Source organism: Homo sapiens, chromosome 22 (genome assembly GCF_000001405.40).
Source record: "Homo sapiens chromosome 22, GRCh38.p14 Primary Assembly".
NCBI classification, from domain to species: domain Eukaryota; kingdom Metazoa; phylum Chordata; class Mammalia; order Primates; family Hominidae; genus Homo; species Homo sapiens.
In genome coordinates this window covers 21,071,055-21,093,208 of record NC_000022.11, presented here as the reverse complement: position 1 = coordinate 21,093,208, position 22,154 = coordinate 21,071,055, and the positions used below count along the sequence as shown (strand labels likewise).

Genomic DNA, 22,154 nt, shown 5'->3' with positions numbered 1-22,154 from the left:
GGTGTCAACAGCTCCTCTAAATACTCAAGCTGGGTCAGTAAGATCCCTTCTCTTAAACTTAATTCCAAAATCTTGAGGAAGAGCTCCATTGGTCCAGCTTGGGTTGGACCCTACCCACAGTCCAATCAACAACATCCATGAGTGGGGCCATGAGGCTTTCAGTGGCTTGGCTTAAGATGGGCTCTATCTCCAGTCCAGTCAACAGCAGCCATTGGTAGGGCCATGTTGCGCAAATATGGTGGCTCCTACTATAGCTATGTGGATGCAGAAAGTAAAGGACAGTCTCCAGAGGACAGCTGGGTATGCCAAACAACAGGTGACTTGCTAAGAGCAATGAGAAATAATACCTGCCCTCAAGGAGCTTATAGTTTCACGAGGGATTCAGACCCAGAGACACACAAATACCATTCCTACTCAGAAGAGGCTACTACATTGATATGACTCAGAGACATCCACATAACCAGAGTTTGATGACAGAAGTTACCAGAAGTTGCACCAACTGCTGCCCCAAAGCCATCCTAGGACCTGATGAGCTAATTAGTCACAATTATTATTGATGACAGCACCAATCCACCTGTTTGTGTCACAAGACAGTTATTGCTGGGTGAGGTGGCTCACACCTGTAATCCCAGCATTTTGGAAGGCCAAGGTGGGAGGATCACTTGAGCCCAGGAGTTCAAGACCAGCCTGGGCAACATAATGAGAGCCCATTTCTACTAAAAATAGAAACTAAAAAATTAACCAGGCATGGCTGTGGTGTGCCTGTGTTCCCAGCCCACGAGGTCAAGGCTGCGGTGAGCCACGTTCATGCCACTGCACTCCAGCCTGGGTGACAGAGCAAGACCTTGTCTCAAAAAAAAAAAAAAAGGATGCTCAAAACTAATAAATTGAAACATTACAGGAGGGTATGCCATGAAAAGTGAAAGCCTCCTTCCTCGTAGTTACTATAAATATTTTACTTGTTTTTTATTTTAAGGTATATTCTAGACTTTTTCCATTAAAATTGAATGTTAATTTGAAAGTTTTTTTTTTTTTTTTTTTTGAGATAGAGTTTCACTCTTGTCGCCCAGGCTGGAGTGCAATGGCGCGATCTCGGCTCACCACAACTCACGTCTCCTGGGTTCAAGCTATTCTCCTGCCTCAGCCTCCTGAGTAACTGGGATTACAGGCATGCGCCACCACGCCCAGCTAAATTTTGTATTTTTAGTAGAGGTGGGGTTTCTCCATGCTGGTCAGGCTGGTCTCGAACTCCCGACCTCACGTGATCCACCCGCCTTGGCCTCCCAAAGTACTGGGATTACAGGCGTGAGCCACCGCGCCCAGTCAGATTTTTTTAAACATTAAAAAAACTCTTATTAGTCTAAAAGTCTAAGACTTTTAATGAGAAATTAATATTGAAATATGGCTATTCAAGACCATCGTGATTTTCGTCTTTGACTATTTTTCTTGTTTAGATTAATATGCCTAATACTATGGAATCATTCAAGCAGTCCCAGAATAAAACACTTAGCCATGGCATTTTATTCTCTACCTGCACAGTTGAGCCTTTTGTATTCATGTTTTATTATTTTTTTAAACGATATTCCCAAATGAGGAGTAGTCTGTAGTCTGTGGTCTTAACTTTTGTATATTACCCTTGGAATACTGTAGTATCAGAGTTATGATCAAGTTTTAGGAAAAACTATAAAGCGTCCAGTCTTGTGTTCAAGAATATGTTACAGGGCCAGGCACGGTGGCTCACACCTGTAATCCCAGCACATTGGGAGGCTGAGGCGGGTGGATCACGAGGTCAGGGGATCGAGACCAACCTGGCTAACACAGTGAAACCCCATCTCTGCTAAAAAATACAAAAAAATTAGCTGGGCGTGGTGGCGTGCACCTGAAGTCCCAGCTACTCTGGAGGCTGAGGCAGGAGAATGGCGTGAGCCCAGGAGGCGGAGCTTGCAGTGAGCCAAGATCACGCCACTGCACCCAGCCTGGGCGACAGAGCGAAACTCCATCTCAAAAAAAAAAAGAAGAAAACAAAAAAAGAATATTTCAGAGAATGAAGTTTCAAAGTATTCATTTACAAAACTATGCAAATACAGTGCTTTTCAGTGGGAGATATTGTTAGACTTCTTTCCAAATATTTTCCAAAATTAGTATTCTATTTAGATTTTCTTTTGCTGATTTTGTCATTATAGTCTCTTAGAAATACCATCAATTTTATCAATACTTTCTAGCTTATTAACATGGAATCGTATTTTAATTAATTTCCTTTATATCTGTGGCTGCCACCTTAAAATTTATTTTCATTTGAGAATTAGGAGTATATCAGTTTTGTGTTGTCAAAATGTATAATGTTTATGTTCTGTGACTATAATGAAGTTTTCTTTGTTTTGTCTAAGTTGGTCATAAGAATTGAAAACCAGTAAATAGCATTTATAATAATTATGGTAATGCACATTTTATTCCCTGCAAAGCCAAGTCGTGGTGTGACTGGACCCAGAGAGAAGGCAGATAGATGCCCCGCTGCTTTTGCAGAGAGCTGTGCAGGCTTGGGTACTGAAGAGCTCCTCCTACTTTTTTTTTTTTTGAGACGGAGTCTTGCTCTGTCGCCCAGGCTGGAGTGCAATGGCACGATCTTGGCTCACTGCAACCTCCACCTCCCAGGTTCAAGCGATTCTCCTGCCTCAGCCTCCTGAGTAGCTGGGATTACAGGCGGCCGCCACCACACCCAGCTAATTTTTGTATTTTTGGTAGAGATGGGGTTTCACCATGTTGGCCAGGCTGGTCTCAAACTCCTGACCTCAGGGGATCCACCCACCTTGGCCTCCCAAAGTGCTGGGACTACTACAGGCGTGAGCCACTGCGCCTAGCCCTCCTCCTATTTTCTTCCTAACTTTCTTTGCTGCTTCTAGATCATAGTCAGCTGCCACTGTTTTATGTTCACGGCAGGTTTTTTGGATTACTCTTCTGATGATTTGCTAGTCTTTTCGTGGGCAGCAGGAATATCTATATGTATGTAGATGTATTATACATACATACATATTATGTATACACATACATGCTTGATTGTGTAACATTTCTTTTTTCCCCCATAGGGATTGAGGATGGTAATGTTTTCAAGTTATTGAATGTCTCGCAATGTCTCATTGTGCCCTCAGTGTTCTGGTAGTTGATTTGACTGAGTATGGAATTCTTGGGTTGAAATATTTCCCTCATGAAGGCTACACTGCTTTATGATTGTGTAGCTGGTGAGGTGAGGAAACACCCCTTTCCCTCTTTCTGACCACACTCACTGGAATTTTTTAAAGTTTTCTTATGCTCTCTGATGTATCTGTTTCCTCTGCATCAGTTCTTCATTCACCTTGGAACTTTGCCTTTTTAATTATTTTTCTTCAAAGACTGTTAATCCTCAATTGTTCACTTTGCAATGGATTATTTAGAAAACTTCCCTAAATATAATATAGAATTGCTAGTTGTCCTGATTGAATGGTGATATTTTTTAGTACTGCTAGATCCTCAGTTGATCAGATTTTACAGTTTCTTTCTCCAATAGCATTTTCGTAATAATTGGTTTGTTTGTATTTTTTTGTTTTTTGTTTTCTTTGAGACAGAGTTTCGCTCTTGTTGCCCAGGCTGGAGTGCAATGGCACGATCTCGGCTCACCGCAACCTCCGCCTCCCGGGGTCAAGCGATTCTCCTGCCTCAGCCTCCCTAGTAGCTGGGATTACAGGCATGTGCCACCACGCTCAGCTAATTTTGTATTTTAAGTAGAGACGGGGTTTCTCCAAATAATTGGTTTGTAATATAAATAATACTTCATTTAATATTAAGGAAAAGGCCAGGCGCAGTGGCTCACGCCTATAATCCCAGCACTTTGGGAGGCCAAGGGCAGATGATCACTGAGCCCAGGAGTTTGAGACCAGCCTGGGCAACATAGCAAAACCCCATCTCTACAAAAAACACACACACACACAAAATGATTTTGACATGGTGGCACGCACCTGTGGTCCCAGTTACTCAAGGGGTTGAGGTGGGAGAATCACTTGAGCCCAGGAGGTTGAGGCTGCAGTAAGCCATGATCGTGCCACTGCACTCCAGCCTGGGTGACAGAGCAAGAGCCTGTCACAAAAAAAAAAAAAAAAAAAAGGAAAAAACTTTAAAAATCCATGCTGTTATGAATTAATATCCATTTAATAGTCCCCCTACATCACTCATGGTTTATTTTTCTCCTGCTACAGTAATTCTTTTTTATTGTATTGTAACTTTAACTTACTGAAGCTTAAAATATTACATTTATAATTTGAGAGAAATATTCTAAAGAAATGAACTTTAAATGATTTTAATTTTTATTTTTTAATTTTTTATTTTTTTGAGACAGAGTCTCATTCTGTTGCCCAGGCTGGAGTTCAGTGGTGTAATCTCAGCTCACTGCATCCTCCACCTCCTGGTTCAAGCAATTCTCCTGCCTCAGCCTCCCGAGTAGCTGTGAATACAGACTCATGCCACCACACCCAGCTAATTTTTGTACTTTTAGTAGACACTGGGTTTCGCCATATTGTACAGGCTGATCTCAAACGCTTGACCTCAGGTGTTCCGCCCACCTCGGCCTCCCAAAGTGCTGAGATTATAGGTGTGAGCCACCGCACCCAGCCTATTTTAATATTTTTAATATATATATATTTTAATTGGGATGGGGTCTCACTATGTTACCCCAGCTGGTCTCGAACTCCTGGTCTCAAACTATTCTCCTGCCTTGGCCTCTCAAGGTGCTGGGATTACAGGGGTAAGCCAACATGCCCAGCCTTAAATGTTTTTAAAAATAAAGTTTGGCAGCCAGGCACGATGGCTCACGCCTGTAATCCCAGCACTTTGGGAGGCTGAGTCGGCTGATCACCTGAGGTCAGGAGTTCGAGACAAGCCTGGCCAACATGGCGAAACCCGTGTCTATTAAAAATACAAAAAAAAAAAAAAAAAGACTAGGTGCGGTGGCTCACACCTCTAATCCCAGCATTGTAGGAGGTGGAGGGGGGAGGATCAATTGACATTGGGAGTTCACGACCAGCCTGACCAACATGGAGAAACCCCGTCTCTACTAAAAGTACAAAATTAGCCAGGCCTGGCGGTGCATGCCTGGCCAACATGGTGAAACCCCGTCACTACTAAAAATACAAAAATTAGCTGGGAGTGGTGGTGTATGCCTGTAATCCCAGCTACTCAGGAGGCTGAGGCAGGAGAATCGCTGGAACCCGGGAGGCGGAGGTTGCAGTGAGCCAATATCACACCACTGCACTCCAGCTTGGCGACAGAGCGAGACTCCGTCTCAAAAAAAAAAGAATTGGCTGGGTGTGGTGGCGGGTGCCTGTAATCCCAGCTACTCGGGAGGCTGAGGTAGGAGAATCGCTTGAACCTGGGAGGCGGAGGTTGCAGTGAGCCGAGATCTCGCCGTTGCACTCCAGCCTTGGGAACAGGAGAGAAACTCCTTCCAAATAAATAAATAAAGAAGTTTGGCCTGGAGAATTTTAATTGTTTCTCATTTTTCCTGAAGTGTTCTCGAGCATCCCATTTGAACGAAAGACTTAGGTAAACATTTCAACAGTAAGACAACGACAAGAATCACAATGGACTTTTTTTGGGGCACGGGACAGAGTCTCGCTCTGTCACCCAGGCTGGAGTGCAGTGGCACAATCTCGGCTTACTGCAGCCTCTGCCTCCCAGGCTCAAGCAATCTTCATGCCTCAGCCTCCGAAGTAGCTGGGACTACAGGTATGTGCCACCATGCCTGACTTATTTTTTTTATTTTTAGTAGAGACGAGATTTTGCCATGTTGGCCAGGCTGGTCTTGAACTCCTGGCCCCAAGTAATTTGCCTGTCTCAGCCTCTTGAGCCCGGGAGGCGGAGCTTGCAGTAAGCCAAGATCACACCACTGCACTCCAGCCTGGCCAACAGAGCAAGACTCCGTTTCAAAAAAAAATTCTACCCCAGTATTCCATGTCACATCCTCAACTGTCCTCTATTTAGATATTATTGAAATAGTAGATGATATCATGTATGAAAATGTCATTGTTCCTTTTTGGGGGTGTCTTGAATTTTTCATTTGTTGATTTTTTATTTCTGTAATCAGTATTAATGAAAGTGATAGCAATTAGTAATAAAGTTCCAAATACATTAAAAAGTAGAGTCTAGAAAAATGAACCCCAAGTTCCAACAATTACCAACTCATAATCAGTCATATTTCACTCTTATCCCTTTTCCCAAAAAGGATTATTTTGGAAATGCCAGTCATCTGTTATCTCATTTTTAAATATTTCAGTATACCTCAAGAAGATAAGGGCTTTCTTTAAAAACATAGCCATAGTAATATGACATTGAAAAAATAAATAACAGTAATTTTTCAAAATCATCAAATATTCAGTGTTTGTTTAAATTTCTTCATTTAAAAAGTTGACTTGTTTTGGGTGGGTGCAGTGGCTCATGCCTGTAGTCCCAGCACTTTGGGAGGCCGAGGCGGGTGGATCACGAGGTCGGGAGCTCGAGACCAGCCTGGCCAACGTGGTAAAACCCCATCTCTACTAAAAATACAAAAATTACCCAGGCGTGGTGGTGGGTGCCTATAATTCCAGCTGCCCAGGAGGATGAAGGAGGAGAATCGCTTGAGCCCAGGAGGCAGAGGTTGCAGTGAGCCGAGGTCACACTATTGCACTCCAGCCTGGGCAACAGAGCAAGACTTCGTCTCAAAAAAAAAAAAAAAAAAAAAGTTGACTTGTTTCATAGAAGCCAAAACAAAGTCTGCACCTGGCATTTGGATAGCACACTTCATAAATCTCTTTTAATCTATAGGCTCTTTCTCCCTCCTTTTTTCCTATTTGCAATTTGTTTGTGGAAGAAACAGAGCATTTGTCCTGTCTTGCTCAAACATTTTAACTGGCTTCTAGTGTTTTTCTAGCTGGACAAAGTTGGAAGTTGACAAATCATTTCTGTACTATTGGTCCAGTATGCTTTGTGGGAAAGAACTATTTGGGGATTGATGTAAAACATAGGTATGTGAGGACTAAACTCTTATTTTTTATTTTTTATTTTTATTTTTTGAGATGGAGTCTTGCTCTGTTGCACAGGCTGGAGGGCAGTGGCGCGATCTCAGCTCACTGCAAGCTCCACCTCTCGGGTTCACGCCATTCTCCTGCCTCAGCCTCCTGAGTAACTGGGACTACAGGCGCCCGCTGCCACGCCAGGCTAATTTTTTTTGTATTTTTAGTAGAGACGGGGTTTCACCGTGTTAGCCAGGATGGTCTCAATCTCCTGACCTCGTGATCCGCCCACCTCGGCCTCCCAAAGTTCTGGGATTACAGGCGTGAGCCACCACAATATATACATATATATGTTGGGATTACAGGCGTGAGCCACTACACCCAGCCTGTTTTCCTTCTTATATTCATGTCTGGCCACTGGGGCTGCAATCTAGCATTTCTTTAGCCTCAGTTGTCTGGTATTAGATTAGGTTCTAGAAGGTTCATATAACTATTAATAGCAATAGTTTTTTTCCTTCCAGAGACATATTTATTCCTCATGCAAAAATACAGAACTAGTCACTAAATAAGGTAAAATCTTGAAAGAATTTTGGATAAGAGATTTCCCATAAAAATGTTTACTTTTAACCTTTTTTCTTTTGTTGTTGTTGTTCAATGAATGAGTTATTTTTAAACCACTATCAGTTTGTTAGCATGTTACAATTAATGAAAGAAGTTCCAATGCAAAATATTTTAATAGGTTGTCAAATATACAGTTATTCGAATTATCTATCACTTATAAAAATCGGTACATCACATTATTCTATAAAATAAAAACACAAATCACACATTGACAACAACCCCTGCAGCCCAAGAATACCCTGCCGAGAGTACAAATTACAAACACATTTTTTAAAACCCTGATATGGGCCCAGCACTTTGGGAGGCCAAGGCGGGCCGATCACAAGGTCAGGAGATCGGGACCATCCTGGCTAACACGGTGAAACCCCGTCTCCACTAAAAATATAAAAAATTAGCCAGTGGTGGTGGCGGGTGCCTGTAGTCCCAGCTACTTGGGAGGCTGAGGCAGGAGAATGGTGTGAACCCAGGAGGCGGAGCTTGCAGTGAGCCGAGATTGCACCACTGTACTCCAGCGAGACTCTGTCTCAAAAAATAAAATAAAATAAAATACTAAAAAAAATAAAAACCTGATATGGTTTGGCTCTGTCCTCACCCAAATCTCATCTCCAGTTGTAATCCATATAATCCCCATGTGTTGAGAGCGGGACCTGGTGGGAGGTGATTAGATTATGGGGGTGTTTCCCCCATACTGTTCTCATAATAGTGAGTGAGTGCTCACAAGATCTGATGATTTTATAAGGGGCTCTTCTCCCTTAGCTCATTCATTCTGTCTCGTCTGCCACCATGTAAGATGTGCCTCTTCTTCCACCATGACTGTAAGTTTCCTAAGGCCTCCCCAGCCTTGTGGAACTGTGAGTCAATTAAATTGCTTTTCTTTATAAATTACCCAGTCTGGGGTCTTTATAGCAATGTGAAAACTAATACAAACCCTAAAGACAAATGCATTTAAACCAAAGTAACTGTGACTAGACTAAATGCATTCATTCATCAAGTACAATAGAAAAATTTAGCACTGCTGCTTATAGTCACTAATAACACAACTTTAGGTGCAATGTCACATGCTTTCATAAATCTTCCAGTACAGTTCCCACAGTAAAGAGACATGGTGCACGCCATTTTCGTTTATTTGTAGGTGCATCACACATCATACTTAAGACTATTTCACTTCACAAACTGTTTATATATATCATAACTGAACACCAGGTTAAAACATTAACCTCAATGATGACAAAACTTAAAAATGAAAGAAAATTCCTGAAAACATATGCCGATTTAATTGCCTAAATACTATTTTCACTTAGAAGCTGTTAGAATAAGTAATGAGAATTGAAATACTAACTCAAAAAAAGATAGAGGCTCCAAACTGTCCTAAAATATTAACACATTTTTAAAGTAATAATATAATCACTCCATAAATCAAAAGTAACTTCCTATTCTTTGCCAAATGTAAAACACCAGTGATTTGAAGAGAAGACTGGGGCCTAAAATCATGCTAAATTGTAAAATACAGGAAAGAGTGTGCAGCTAATTAGCTTGTGGATATGTAATAGAATCGCTTTCACAGGATTGTTGTGTTAAATGCTACTTTTTTTATTTATGTATGTATGTATTTATTATTTATTTGAGACAGAGTCTCACTCTGTTGCCCAGGCTAGAGTGCAGTGGCACGATCTCGGCTCACTGCAACCTCTGCCTCCTGAGTTCAAGTGATTCTCCTACCTCAGCCTCCTGAGTAGCTGGGACTACAGGTGCCTGCCACCACACCCAGCTAACTTTTGTATTTTTGGCAGAGACTGAGTTTCACCATGTTGGCCAGGCTGGTCTCGAACTCCTGACCTCAAGTGATCTGCCCACCTCAGTCTCCTGGGATTACAGGGAGCCACCACACCCAGCCATGTTAAACACTACTTTAAATGGGTAGTCTAGGCCAGGCGCGGTGGCTCAAGCCTGTAATCCCAGCACTTTGGGAGGCTGAGGCGGGTGGATCACGAGGTCAGGAGATGGAGACCATCCTGGCTAACACGTTGAAACCCCCTCTCTACTAAAAATACAAAACAAACAAACAAAAAAAAATTGCCCGGGCGTGGTGGCGGGAGCCTGTGGTCCCAGCTACTCAGGAGGCTAAGGCAGGAGAATGTCGTGAACCCAGGAGGTGGAGCTTGCAGTGAGCCGAGATTGCAGCACTGCACTCCAGCCTGGGTGACAGAGTGAGAAATAAATAAATGAACAGTCTAAATAAACATACCTTTACCAGCAAGGAAAGTGAAAATTAAGGCTTTTTTACACTATCTTCAACTATTAACACTACCCAAACTTAAAAGTCAAATAGAGGTTACAAACCTGCAAAATATTACTTCTAACATCTCTAACATACTGTTAGTTGCTTCCTCTCAACTCCATACTTATGTTATATAGATGCGCATTTTTCTATATCTCTATCTTAATTAAGCCCCCATCCCACCCCAACTAGACAGAATGCCAAAAATGGTTAGGGCCTTATCTGATTGGTTCACAACTGTATACTGTGAAGCTAAAAAATGCTTGGCACATGCTATAAATTAAATAAATATTTTTGAATGAACTAAAAACCCTGGCCTTCAAAGGCAACCCAAATTGTTTTCCCAAAGCATTAATAGATCATTGTTACCTCTTTAACCAGATTGACTATTATTATTATTATTATTATTTTGAAACAGAGTCTCACTCTGTTGCCCAGGCTGGAGTGCAGTGGCACGATCTCAGCTCACTGCAATCTCTGACTCCTGGGTTCAAGTGATTCTCCTGCCTCAGCCTCCCAAGTAGCATGTAATCACAGGCACACGCCACCACACCTGGCTAATTTTTGTATTTTTAGCAGAGAGGGGGTTTTGCCACGTTGGCCAGGCTGGTCTCAAACCCCTGACCTTAGGTGATGTGCCTGCCCTGGCCTCCCAAAGTGCTGGGATCACAGGCATGAGCCACTGCGCCTGGCCAGACTGACAATTATTAAGAAGAAATTGATGCCTTGTAGGCTATGAAAACATCATAGGATGTAATAGAAAGGATAACTGAGGCCAGGTGCAGTGACTCATGCCTGTAATCCCAGCACTTTGGGAGGCTGACGCAGGCTGGTTGCTTGAGCACAGAGCCTGGGTAACAATGGTGAAACCCTATCTCTACAAAAAAATTACAAAAATTATCCCAGCATGGTAACCCACGCGCCTGTGGTCCCAGCTAGTTGGGAGTCTGAGGTGGGAGGACTGCTTGAAACCAGGAGGGAGAGGTTGCAGTAAGCCAAGATCGCATGCCATTGAAATCCAGCCTGGGTGACAGAGCGGAACTCTGTCTTAAAAAAAAAAAAATCAATGAATGTAAACACTTTATTAAACTATTATACAATTTAAATTTTTATTAGAGAAATGTATTATTCACATCCACAACTTCTTTTTTTTATTTTTTGAGATGGAGTCTTGCTCTGTCACCCAGGCTAGAGTGCAGTGGCACGATCTCAGTTCACTGCAACCTCCGCCTCCTGGGTTCAACCGATTCTCCTGCCTCAGCCTCCAGAGTAGCTAGGATTACAGGTGCCCGCCACTGCGCCTGGCTAATTTTTGTATTTTTTGTAGAAATGGGGTTTCACCATCTTGGCCAGGCTAGTCTCGAACTCCTGACCTTGTGATCCACCTGCCTCTGCCTCCCAAAGCACAACTTCTTAAAGTCCTTTTTAAATGAGTATAATCCATAATAAATATGCTAAAATTATTACTTATGTTTCATAGGGGAAAAAAACTATGAGAATCCTATTAACCCAAGCTATATCCTTATTATGCTTATTTCTTAAACATTTGCATGTTCAGATATGCTTGGTGAATACTGATCATTCATACCAATAGTGGTAAATTTCAGCATAATCTTTTTTTTTTGAGACGGAGTCTTGCTCTGTCGCCCAGGCTAGAGTGCAATGGCATGATCTCGGCTCACTGCAACCTCCGCCTCCTGGGTTCAAGCGATTCTCTTGCCTCAGCCTCTTGAGTAACTGGGACTACAGGCGCCCGCCACCACACCAGGTTAATTTTTTAAATACTTTTAGTAGAGATGGGGTTTCACCATGTTGGTCAGGCTGGTCTCGAACTCCTGACCTTGTGATCCGCCCACCTCAGCCTCCCAAAGTGCTGGGATTAGAGGCACAGCTCACTGCAACCTCAAACTCCTGGGCTCACATGATCTTCCTGCCTCAGCCTCCCAAGTAGCTGCAATGCAATGGCATGATCATGGCTCACTGCAGCCTCAATCTGGGCTGAAGTGATCCTCCCACCTCAGCCTCCTTAGTAGCTGAGACTACAAGTGCATGCCATCATGCCCAGCTAATTGTGTGTGTGTGTGTGTGTGTGTGTGTGTGTGTGTGTAGAGATGAGGTGTTGCTGTGTTCCCTAGGCTGGTCTCAAACTCCTAGGCTCAAGCGATCCTCCCGCCTCAGCCTCCCAAAATGGTAGGATTGCGGGCATGAGTCACTGTGTCTGACCAGCAATTCCCATGTTTTATAGAAACACCATTCTCATGCAGCCCACAGCGGCCAGCTTCAGAGCCAGGTGAAGTTGAACGTGGCCCCCGTGGCCGTCTTCCAGATGCTCAAGTCGATGTGTGCCGGGCAGAGGATGGCGAGCGAGCCCCAGGACTCTGCGGCCGTGTCTCTGCACACGACGAGCGTGCCCGAAGTCAGAGCCGGGCCCATTGTCCCTGCCCCAGTGGTCGGGAGGTGGGGTGGAGAGGGGCAGGGGCAGCACAGCGCCAGCATGGCCCGGAGTGACCACGCCTGTCTGTCGGTCTCAGCCCAGCAGCTGCAGGGCCCATCCGTGGGCTCTGCTCCCTGGCTTCGCTGTTATCCTTAGGAGGCATGTCCAGGCCAGGTGGACGCAGAGTGCGTGCCCCACGGTGCTCCAGGTGGGCTAGGGCTCCTCCTCCTCAGCCTCTCCCCACCTCTTCACTCATGCCTCCATTCCACAAAGTCAGGAATCAAGACGACTTTGGGCTAGGCGCAGGGGCTCATGCCTCCAATCCAAGCACTTTGGGAGGCCAAGGGGGGAAGGTCGTTTGAGGCCATGAGTTTGAGACCAGTCTGGATGACAGAGTGAGACCCTGTCTGTAAAAAAAAAAAAAAAAAAAAAAAAAAGATTTTTTTTTTTTTTGAAACGGAGTCTCGCTTTGTCGCCAGGCTGGAGCGCAGTGGTGCTATCTCGGCTCACTGCAACCTCCGCCTCCCAAGTTCAAGTGATTCTCCTGCCTCAGCCTCCCAAGTAGCTGGGACTACAGGCATGCGCCACCAATCCCAGCTAATTTTTTTGTACTTTTAGCAGCGACGGGGTTTCATCATGTTGGCCAGGATGGTCTCGATATCTTGATCTCATGATCTGCTCACCTCGGCCTCCCAAAGTGCTGGGATTACAGGTGTGAGCCACCACACCCAGCACCCCCAAAAATATTTTTAAAAGACAGTTTTGGGCCAGGAGCAGTGGCTCACACCTGTAATCCCAGTACTTTGGGAGGCTGAGGCAGGCGTATCATTTCAGGTCAAGAGTTTGAGACTGGCCTGGCCAAAATGGTAAAACCCTATCTTTACTAAAAATACAAAAATTAGCTGGGTGTGGTGGCACACGCCTGTAATCCCAGCTACTCTGGAGGCTGAGGCAAGAGAATCAGTTGAATCCAGGAGGCGGAGGTTGCAGTGAGCTAAGATCACACCATTACACTCCAGCCTGGGTGACAGTGAGACTCCTCTCGAAAAAAAAACAACAGCACAGTTTTGATCCTGTCTTGTGGCATTACAGCCTCCAGGAAAGTGCCGAGGGAGCAGGGCAGGCAGAAGTCTTCCTGCCACCCCCTGCCTGTACCCCACTTGGGCCCAGGTCCTATGCAGGGGCTTGACCAGCCCTGGCCAGCTTCCCTCTGAGGATTGCAGGACAAGAGTCAGAGGCAGAACTCCCAGGGTACAGAGGCCTGCGGGGCCTGAAGGGCCTCCTCTCTCCAGCATGGTGACTGGGGCTGAGCAGATGCTGAGGCTGAGAGTGTGTCATGGTGGAGCCTCCGTCTCTGCTTTCCTCCCCACATGTTGCTTCTGCTCCTGACGGCTCCCTCTGAAATGCAGCAAAACCTCCCCGGCCACTGGAAGGAGGCCCAGAGCTGGCTCCCCACCTGGAAGCATGAGGACACCCACACAGGCATCCTGAGAAGGGGCGGAGAGCCGGCTGCCCCCATGGGGGCAGGGCCTGGGCACCCAGTCCCCCTGCCCTGAGAGGCCCCAGGCACCTGCGCAGAGGCCTCACTGACCCCGCGCTCTGTCTGCTCTCTTTGCGTCTCTCTCTGACCTCCAGAGGCCTCCTTTTTCTCTGCCAGGAACAATAACCCCACTGCGAACCCCTCTTTTCCTTGGGCCCTTGGCCTGCGGGCTCTCCGGTTCTGCCCCACAGCCTGGCTGCCACACACTCACCTTTCTCTCCAGCCCCTACCCCACCCCATTCCCTCCGCCTCTCTTGCTGCCTGTTCTTTCTCAGGTCGTGGTTATTGGCTTATCTCTGGTGGTTGGTGCTCTCCCTTGTTTCCATGGAAAGTGCCCGGCCCCAGGAGGCAGGAAAACCTGTAAGCTGCAAGGGCAAGACCATGTAGGCCAACGCTGCCCTGTGGCTTAGCGACAGGGCACGATTTCTGGCTCTGTTTATTAGAGACATGGTATGGCCCACAGTTGGGCTGGCATCTGGGGACAGGATCAACATCCCACACCCCAGAGGCGAACTGTGGTGAGTGAGACTTGTGCCCTGTAAAGAATTCCACCCACCCCAAGGGAGGACAGCAGGCTGAGGGGTGGTGTGCTGTGCTGGAGAGCACAGCCCCAGGCGTGACAAACACCTTGCCTCTTAGAAGCTGTCCCCTACCCCGACAGGAAGTCTGGAGGCTGAAACAGAGGCTCCCGCCTTCTCCGAGCCTCCTGGGCAGCACCACACAGATGCCGTGTGCTGGTCCCGTGGCCACACTCCAGCACTCAGCCCCTTTGCCCGCCTCACTCCTGAGTTGGGGCCACCTTCCAGGTGTCACCAGGTGTGATGAAACCAGGGGCCCAGAGCCAGGGGCCTGTGAGAGCCCAAGGGGCTCTGGTCGCACCTCCTGTACGCTCCTCCCCACAGCGCCCACCTCACTGCCAACCAGAGCTCAGGCCCAAGGGAGGGTGAGGAGGGGCTGAGGGACAGGCTGGGGTAGGGGTGCACGGACTGCAGGCTGAGATGAGCAATTGAAGGGCAGGTTTCCACGGGGAGGAAGAAACTGGGAACAGAGTCCTTGTCATTCTAAGGGATGTTGCCATTCACCCAGGGATTCTGGGTGCCGGGCCCGGCTGTCTGTCAGTGCAGAGGGTGTGGCAGTGAAGTGAGATGGTCCCACTCGTTCCAATGAGAGGTGGCGAGAAAAACCGCCAATGATGGAGGTAGGAGGAGGCTTCTGAGCAGGAGAGCAGTAAGGGTTACACAGGGCGGGACAGGAGGGGTCAGCAGAGCCCCGAAGGTGTGAGCTGGGGTGGTGGGAGGGGGTGGGCGAGGCAGAGTGCTGTCCAGGCGCTGGTGGGCCCAGGGCAGGAGGAGGGAGGTGGCAGGACATAGTCAAGATGTATTCGGGGGCCAGACGCAGTGGCTCATGCCTGTAATCCCAGCAATTTGGGAGACCAAGGCGAGCGGATGGCCTGAGATCCAGAATTAGAGACCAGCCTGGCCAACATGGCAAAACCCCATTTCTACAAAAAAAAAAAAAAAAAAAAAAAAAAATTAGCCAGGTGTTGTGGCATATGCCTATAATCCCAGCCACTCGGGAGGCTGAGGCATGAGAATCACTTGAACCTGGGAGGCAGAGGTTGCAGTGAGGTGAGATCACGCCACTGCACTCCAGCCTGGGAGACAGAGTGAGACTCCATCTCAAAAAAAAAAAAAAAAAAAAAAGATGTATGCGGGGGTCGTGGTGCTGGGAACACGGGCATAAAGGGGCCAGGAGGATCAGGGGTGCCGTGTGGGTGAACGGGGGCTCCGAGAGAAGTGAGAGGATACCCAAAACACGAGGACTGGAGCGGCCTGGCATGCTGGGCCCCTCAGGGTCTTTGCTCTTCAAGGGCTCTGTCCTGCAGGCTGGGTGGCAGAAGGCCAGGATATGAGGGCACAGAGGCCCTGGGGGGATGCCCCGTGGGGATAGAGGGAAACCTGGGGAGAAGGTGGAGGGGAGTGGGGCAGAGGTGGGGCCACACCAGGAGTGTGCTGCGGAGTGAGAGGCAGAGCCCGCAGATGGGATACCGAGAGCTCTCTGAGACCCGCGTGTTGCAGCATCCAAACACACGGAGCTCCAGCTGCCCCAGTAATGGCAGAATCTGGGGTGGAGAACATAAGAGGGGGTTGTCAGAGTGATCCAGCTGGAGGGCATGGAGGCCATAGATTTCACACAGGACTTGGGTGTGGAGTTCTCCAGGCCGCGGGCCAGGCCCACTCAAGCCTGCCTCTGTGAACTGCAGCAGGCGCCCCAGCCTCTCTGGATGCCTGTCCCCCAGCCATCCAGACAGCCTGCGGGGACCACCGCCACCAGGCTCACTCATACCCACAGGGAGGGGAAACAGAAGACACCAGAACAGACGGGCAATGCTTGTGGTGAGGGTCTGGAGTCATTGAGGGAAAACTAAATGCAGTCAAGCGGTCTCTAAGTTTAGGGAAACTACACATTTTTTAAAGTTGTCCAGAGCATGTAAGATGACGTTTGGTATGTGGAAGCCATGAGTCTCACATGAGCTGTGCTGCCTGATACGGGAACCACGAGCTATATATGGCTGGCATGGTCACTGCACTGCGTGTGTTATGCACAGCAGGTGCCAAAGGACTGGCACAAAAGTGAATGCAGGGCGTGGTAGCTCACGGCTATAATCCCAACACTGGGAGGCAGGGCAGGAGGATCACTTGAGGCAAGGAGTTCGAGACCAGCCTGGGCAACATAGCGAGATCCAGTGTCTACAAACAAAAGAACAGAAGTGAATGCAGGGCCAGGCACAGTGGCTCATACCTGTAATTTCAGCACTTTGGGAGGCTAAGGTGGGTGGATCACTTGAGTCCAGGAGTTTGAGACTGGCCTAGGCAATATGGTGAGATTCCCATCTCTATTTAAATAAAAAGGAAAAAAAAAGTGATTGCAACATTTCATGAAAAACTTATGTACTGATTACATGTTGAAATGATAATATGTTGGATATTTTGGGTTAATTAAAATATATTATTTGAATTCTAATTCCACATTTTCTTTTATTTTAGTGGTTACCAGAAAATTTAAAATTGTGGCTGGGTGTGGTGGCTCATTCCTGTAATCCCAGCACTTTGGGAGGCTGAGGCGGGTGGATCACCTGAGATGGGAAGTTCGAGACTAGCCTTACTAACATGGCGAAACCCCATCTCTACTAAAAATACAAAATTAGCCGGGCATGGTGGCACATGCCTGTAGTCCCAGCTACTTGGGAAGGTGAAGTAGGAGAATCGCTTGAGCCCGGGAGGTGGAGGTTGCAGTGAGCAGAGATTGCACCATTGCACTCCAGCCTGGACAACAAAAGCGAAACTCCATCTCAAAAAAAAAATTGCATGTGTGGCTCATGCCCCTGACTTGGGTTTGCTGAAGGCATGTCATGAATGTGTTGGAGCAGCACTGTCCGACAGGAGTATTAGGCGAGCCACAGACTAAAGGGCCTGCTGTGCTGCCCCTGCCCCTGCCAGTGAGACACCACTGCTGATGCCACCTGCCCTGGCTGCGGCTGCTTCTCAAGCAGGGCCAGTGGTGGTTTCCTTCCCTCTCAGTTCTCTCACGTCACCTCTGCCCGTTTTCCTTCCTAACACAAATGTTGGTCAGCCCATGTTGCCGCAAGTTCGCGCTGCCACTACGAAACAAGAAAGGCCACCCTTGGGGACCAGCAGAAGGGACACATCTTCATTCCCCAACCAGCTCTGCCCAGATGGGAAATGGTGGGGAGTTGGGCTCACATAGGCCACACCAAAGGTAAATGGCAGAGGGCGTCCCAGCTTGGTCTGGCCCACTCCGCAGCTTCAGGGATTCCCCAGATCATGAGAGGCTGACAGGCTGCTGCATTTTGAGATTTGCTTCGTTAGGGGCTCACAAAATGCCGAGTGGTCACCAGCTGGTTTCAGAGTAGCAGGAGCACTGACCTTGAAGAGAATGAGCCAGGCTGTTTTTGGTTTTGTTGTTGTTTTATTTTTGTATTTTTAAGTTTTGTTAATCTAATTTTTTTTTTTAGAGGTAGCCTCCCTCTGCCACCCAAGCTGGAGTGCAGTGGTGCAATCATGGCTCACTGCAGCCTCAGACTCCTGGGCTCAAGTGATCCTCCCACCTCAGCCTCCTGAGTAGCTGGGACTACAGGTGCAGGCCACCACACCCAGCTTTTGTTTGTTTTTTGGGTTTGTTTTTTTTTAGAGATAGGGTCTCACGTTTTTGCCCAGACTGGTCTCGAACTCTTGGCCTCAAGGGATCCTCCTGCCTCAGCCTCCCAAAGCCTGGGGTTATAGCATGAAGTCTGTTTTAACATGCATTGGTCATTGACTGTTTTTGGTGCATAGAAGGACCCTCCAGGGACCAGGCCTGGGGACATCAGTCACCCCACCCTCCCCCCCAACTTGCAGTAACACTTGGTTCAACCCCACTGTCCAACCCATCTGACTCAGTAGCCCCTCCCAAGGGAGCAGAGCTAAAAAAAAAAGCTGGTTTTCCCACTGCAAGATGCTGCAGGTCGTTCTCTTCTGGGCCTCCTCGTCCTTCATAAAGTGAGGAGGCCTGAACAGGGCTCCTCACTAACCCCAAGAGCACATGATTCCTGAAGGGTTCCAGAATTGTTTTCTTAATATCCATTATGGCTCAAAGTTATGTTAAGGGTTTGTCAGCCCTGTCAGATTTAAAGGTAAGCATTATTAGTCAGGTGTGGCCACATGCTTGTAGTCCCACTACTCTGGAGGCTGAGGCAGGAGGATTGCTTGAGGCCATGAGTTCAAGGCTGCACTGAGCTGTGATTGCATCACTGCACTCCAGCTCAGGTGACAGAGCAAGACTCAGTCTCTAAAAACCAAAAAAATTTTAAAAAAAATTTCAAAACCCTTACTTCCTCCTTTCTGCTTCCCTCTCATCCTTGTTTCCAGAAGGGACCGAGTCATTACTGAGGGGAAGAGAGGAAGCTCAGATGGTGCCAAGCTGAAGGGAAGCCAGCTCTGAGTCAGGCCCAGGTCTGCAGACTGCCCTGCCGTGTGCTGTGGGGAGCTGGACATTAGTCACCCTGAGAGCACGGGGACACCTAAACACCGCGGCTACAGACGCTCTGACTCTGTCTGGCCTGGCCCGCAGAGGGACTGTGGCCTCAGAGGAGGATGCTGGCCCATTGTGGGAGCTGCTGCAGGGTGGTGGGGCTCATCTGCTCATGGGAGATGGGGTCCTTCCCCCGACCAGTCAGTGGAGACTAAAATAATGGCAGTTTGTACCAAAGGAAATGCGAGGTGGCCATTCTCTGCTTTGTGCCTTTTCCACGAGTCACTGGTAGACTGAGGTGGCCAAACTTCACCCACCACATGCTTCTGGCTGCACCCCTCCTTGGTTCTGGGCAACCCTGACTCCGTCTTTCTTGAGTTGAGTGTGCCAAGCTGACAGAGTTCCAAGCGTGACACCACCATAACCTTCACCACCCACCGAGCAGCAAAGATCTCATTCTCTGAGGAAGAACTCCCCAGAAACTCTCACAAGGAGGGCCATCCTATCCCTGCAGGGATTTGGGGAGAATTTTCTTTTCAGTATTGGCATGGAAAGGGAGCTGGAGTGGCCTCTGGAGTAGCCAAGATCCATGGCGTCTCAGACACAGGAGCCTCCACTTGTTCAAGATGACAAATGGTGAAACGGAAATGTCCTCATGGATCCCTAAAACACCTGGTTGCATCTTTTTTTCAAGAGCGCAGTTTCCAATTGCAGGTGATTTGACTAAACTTGGTAAGAGGCCAGGGAAGAACCAGGATTGAGGCTGAGTGTTCTGTTGGCTGAACCGTCATCTGGTCTCACCCCAAAAGTGGTGGCAGGAGAGCTCCCGCAAGGGACTGCCCCAGACCTTCCACTTGGGTGACTGAGAGCCAGTTGGGATGAGAGCCAGTTGGAATTCCAAAGGAAGAAGCACTTAATGTGAGGGTGGTCAGTCCAAAGCATGTGTTAGGGGAACTTCCATACACACAAGGCTGCAGTATGGCCTCACGAGGGACGGCAAGGATGGAGGTTCTGCCTAGGCATGCTGCAGTGAGGGGGTGGAGTGTGGAGTTTATATAAGGGTGCAAGGAATTTGGCTGGGGCGGGGCCAGTTTCCACATGCTTAGCAACATGTCAGATCTTTTACTGTTTCAGGCAACAAACAACATGTTTATCAGTGTCTGGTAAGAAGCAAGGCCCCAGCTAGGGTTTGAGCCTGCAGGGGGAACATACAGCTGACCAGGTCACAGAGCAGTCAAGGCACACTCTTGGTCAGGACAAAGCTGGGGGGACAAAATGGGAGACCCAACACTGTGAGTCAAGCAGGGGACACATGCCCTGGTTAGAGCCCATGGGGCAGACTCTACCAGGCCAGAGCAAAGGAGAGCCCTGGCCAAGGTACTCCACATGGGGGGCTGTGACCCCATGGGCAAGCCTTCTACCCAAGCACATTTGTCCTCTAGAGGGTCCTCTCGGTCTTGCTGATGCTGACAACACCAAGTCCAGGGAAATCCATCCCGTTAAAATAAAGCTCTGGCCCAAGTGTGGTTGCAGATCTTTCTATCTTCACAAAAAGGAGTAAGCAAATTACAAATCGAGGGAAATCTGAACCAGTGGTCTTCATCTGGGATTCTCTGGTGGTCAGAAGGAAAGTCTCAAGCATTCAGACCACGGGAGGAACCCAGTCATGGAATCCAGTAGCTAAACTCCAGAGTGAGAGGCTTTATTGAGGGATCTGGCCAGCAGCCCGCAATGCAATGGGGCTCTCTCTTTGCTCCTAGGTGGATTGGCAGGTTGAGAAATAATAGACACACACAAGATAGTGAAAGCTGGGTCCAGGGGGTCACTGCCTTCTGGTCCCATGGTGCCAACAATGCACTGGATATACCAGCATTTACTATTAAGTTTAGTGAGGGCGGGGGTAGGTTAGTGAGGGATTTAGGGTCATTTGATTATGAGGTGAGATGGTCACATGGGGATGAAGTAATTCTTTAACATAGCATTTGTATGTAGAAGTACAGTACATTTGTATGTAGAAGTACGGTATACAAAGATAAGAATTTACAATATAGTGTGTGCATCAGTAATTTCTAACAGAGTCTTAGAACAGAAACACAGTCTTTCCATAACCTATGATTAGCAAGATATTAATCAGCAGTAACAATTGCAACAAAAGCTGGTTACAAACAATCCATGGAAACAGGACGTGAAGCTAGACAACTGGTTAGACCAGAAATTCTCAGAAGGGAGTATGCCTTCACCCTAAAGAGGCCTAGAAGAGCTGTGGCAAGATGAGGGCGTTTATAGCCGTATCTTATCCATATGGACAGGCGCCCCCCATGCATCCGTTTATAGGCTCTCCACAAGGGTTGCATTCCATTCCCAGAGCTATGAATATCTGCTTTTCTGGGATAGGAATCTTGGTGATGTGAAACCTCCCTGACTGCACGTCCATTCATAGGCTCTCTGCAGGTGGAAGGACATCACGTGCTGTTGGCTCGTTCTGGCAGTCCAAGCTGGCATTGTCTTTACACAATCCTGCATGCAATTTTGTATTTACAATAATCAGGAGCATTTCATCTTTTATTCCATAGCAATAGTTTCAGGGTGTCTCCCTACAAGGCTTGACCACTGTTTGCAGAATACTCGGGTAGGTAGGAAACAATGTGAGAGCTTCCAAAATCAAAATCAGAAACCCAATTCCAGTACTTGGTGACTGGAGTGTTTCCTGCCTGTCACCATCTAAGGCAGCTCAGATGTACAGTTCAGCGTGAACACACCTGGAGGATGAAGTGGCAAGTCCCTGCTGCTGCTGCTGCTTGGCGCCATCAGGGCAGACCAGGTTCCTTGTCCAGGCCAAGTATGGACCAGCCACCCTTACCCTTCCCTAAATGGACCCGTGGCCAAGGGCTTCTGGGGCATGACCTGCCTTTGGCAGTTCTGAGCCTCAGGACTCAGGACTGATACAGGGCTTTCAGCTTGAAGTGGCTTTGAGGGAAATGTGCAGACACAAATGTTGCTCAAGGAGCACACTTCAGTAGGTGCTGCAGTTACGGGGCTCGTCCGTTCCTATTGGCTGCGCTTTGTGTCTCCTCAGGGAGAAACAAAGACAGCACCTCCCTCGGGAGAGTGCCGGCCCTGTTGGAATGCAGCGGCCGCAAAGGATCCAGCCAGAGGACACCCCGCCAGCCCAGCGCTACCAGGCTGCCCAAGTGGGGTGGGCCTGGAAGAAGGCAGCAGGTGCGGGGCAGCACCTAG

At 47.7% G+C, this 22,154-nt stretch overlaps 1 pseudogene, besides 1 other annotated feature; it reads left to right on the top strand.

Annotated features, from left to right (window-relative positions):
- The first annotated feature begins 222 nt into the window (after positions 1-222).
- LOC112268300 (uncharacterized) lies at positions 223-22,154 on the top strand (annotated as a pseudogene).
- Positions 6,820-7,020: a silencer, noted in NCBI's record as "peak4461 fragment used in MPRA reporter construct". NCBI's record gives its function as "represses an SCP1 promoter by STARR-seq MPRAs in K562 erythroleukemia cells {active_cell/tissue: K562}" and the evidence as "EXISTENCE:reporter gene assay evidence [ECO:0000049][PMID:32103011]".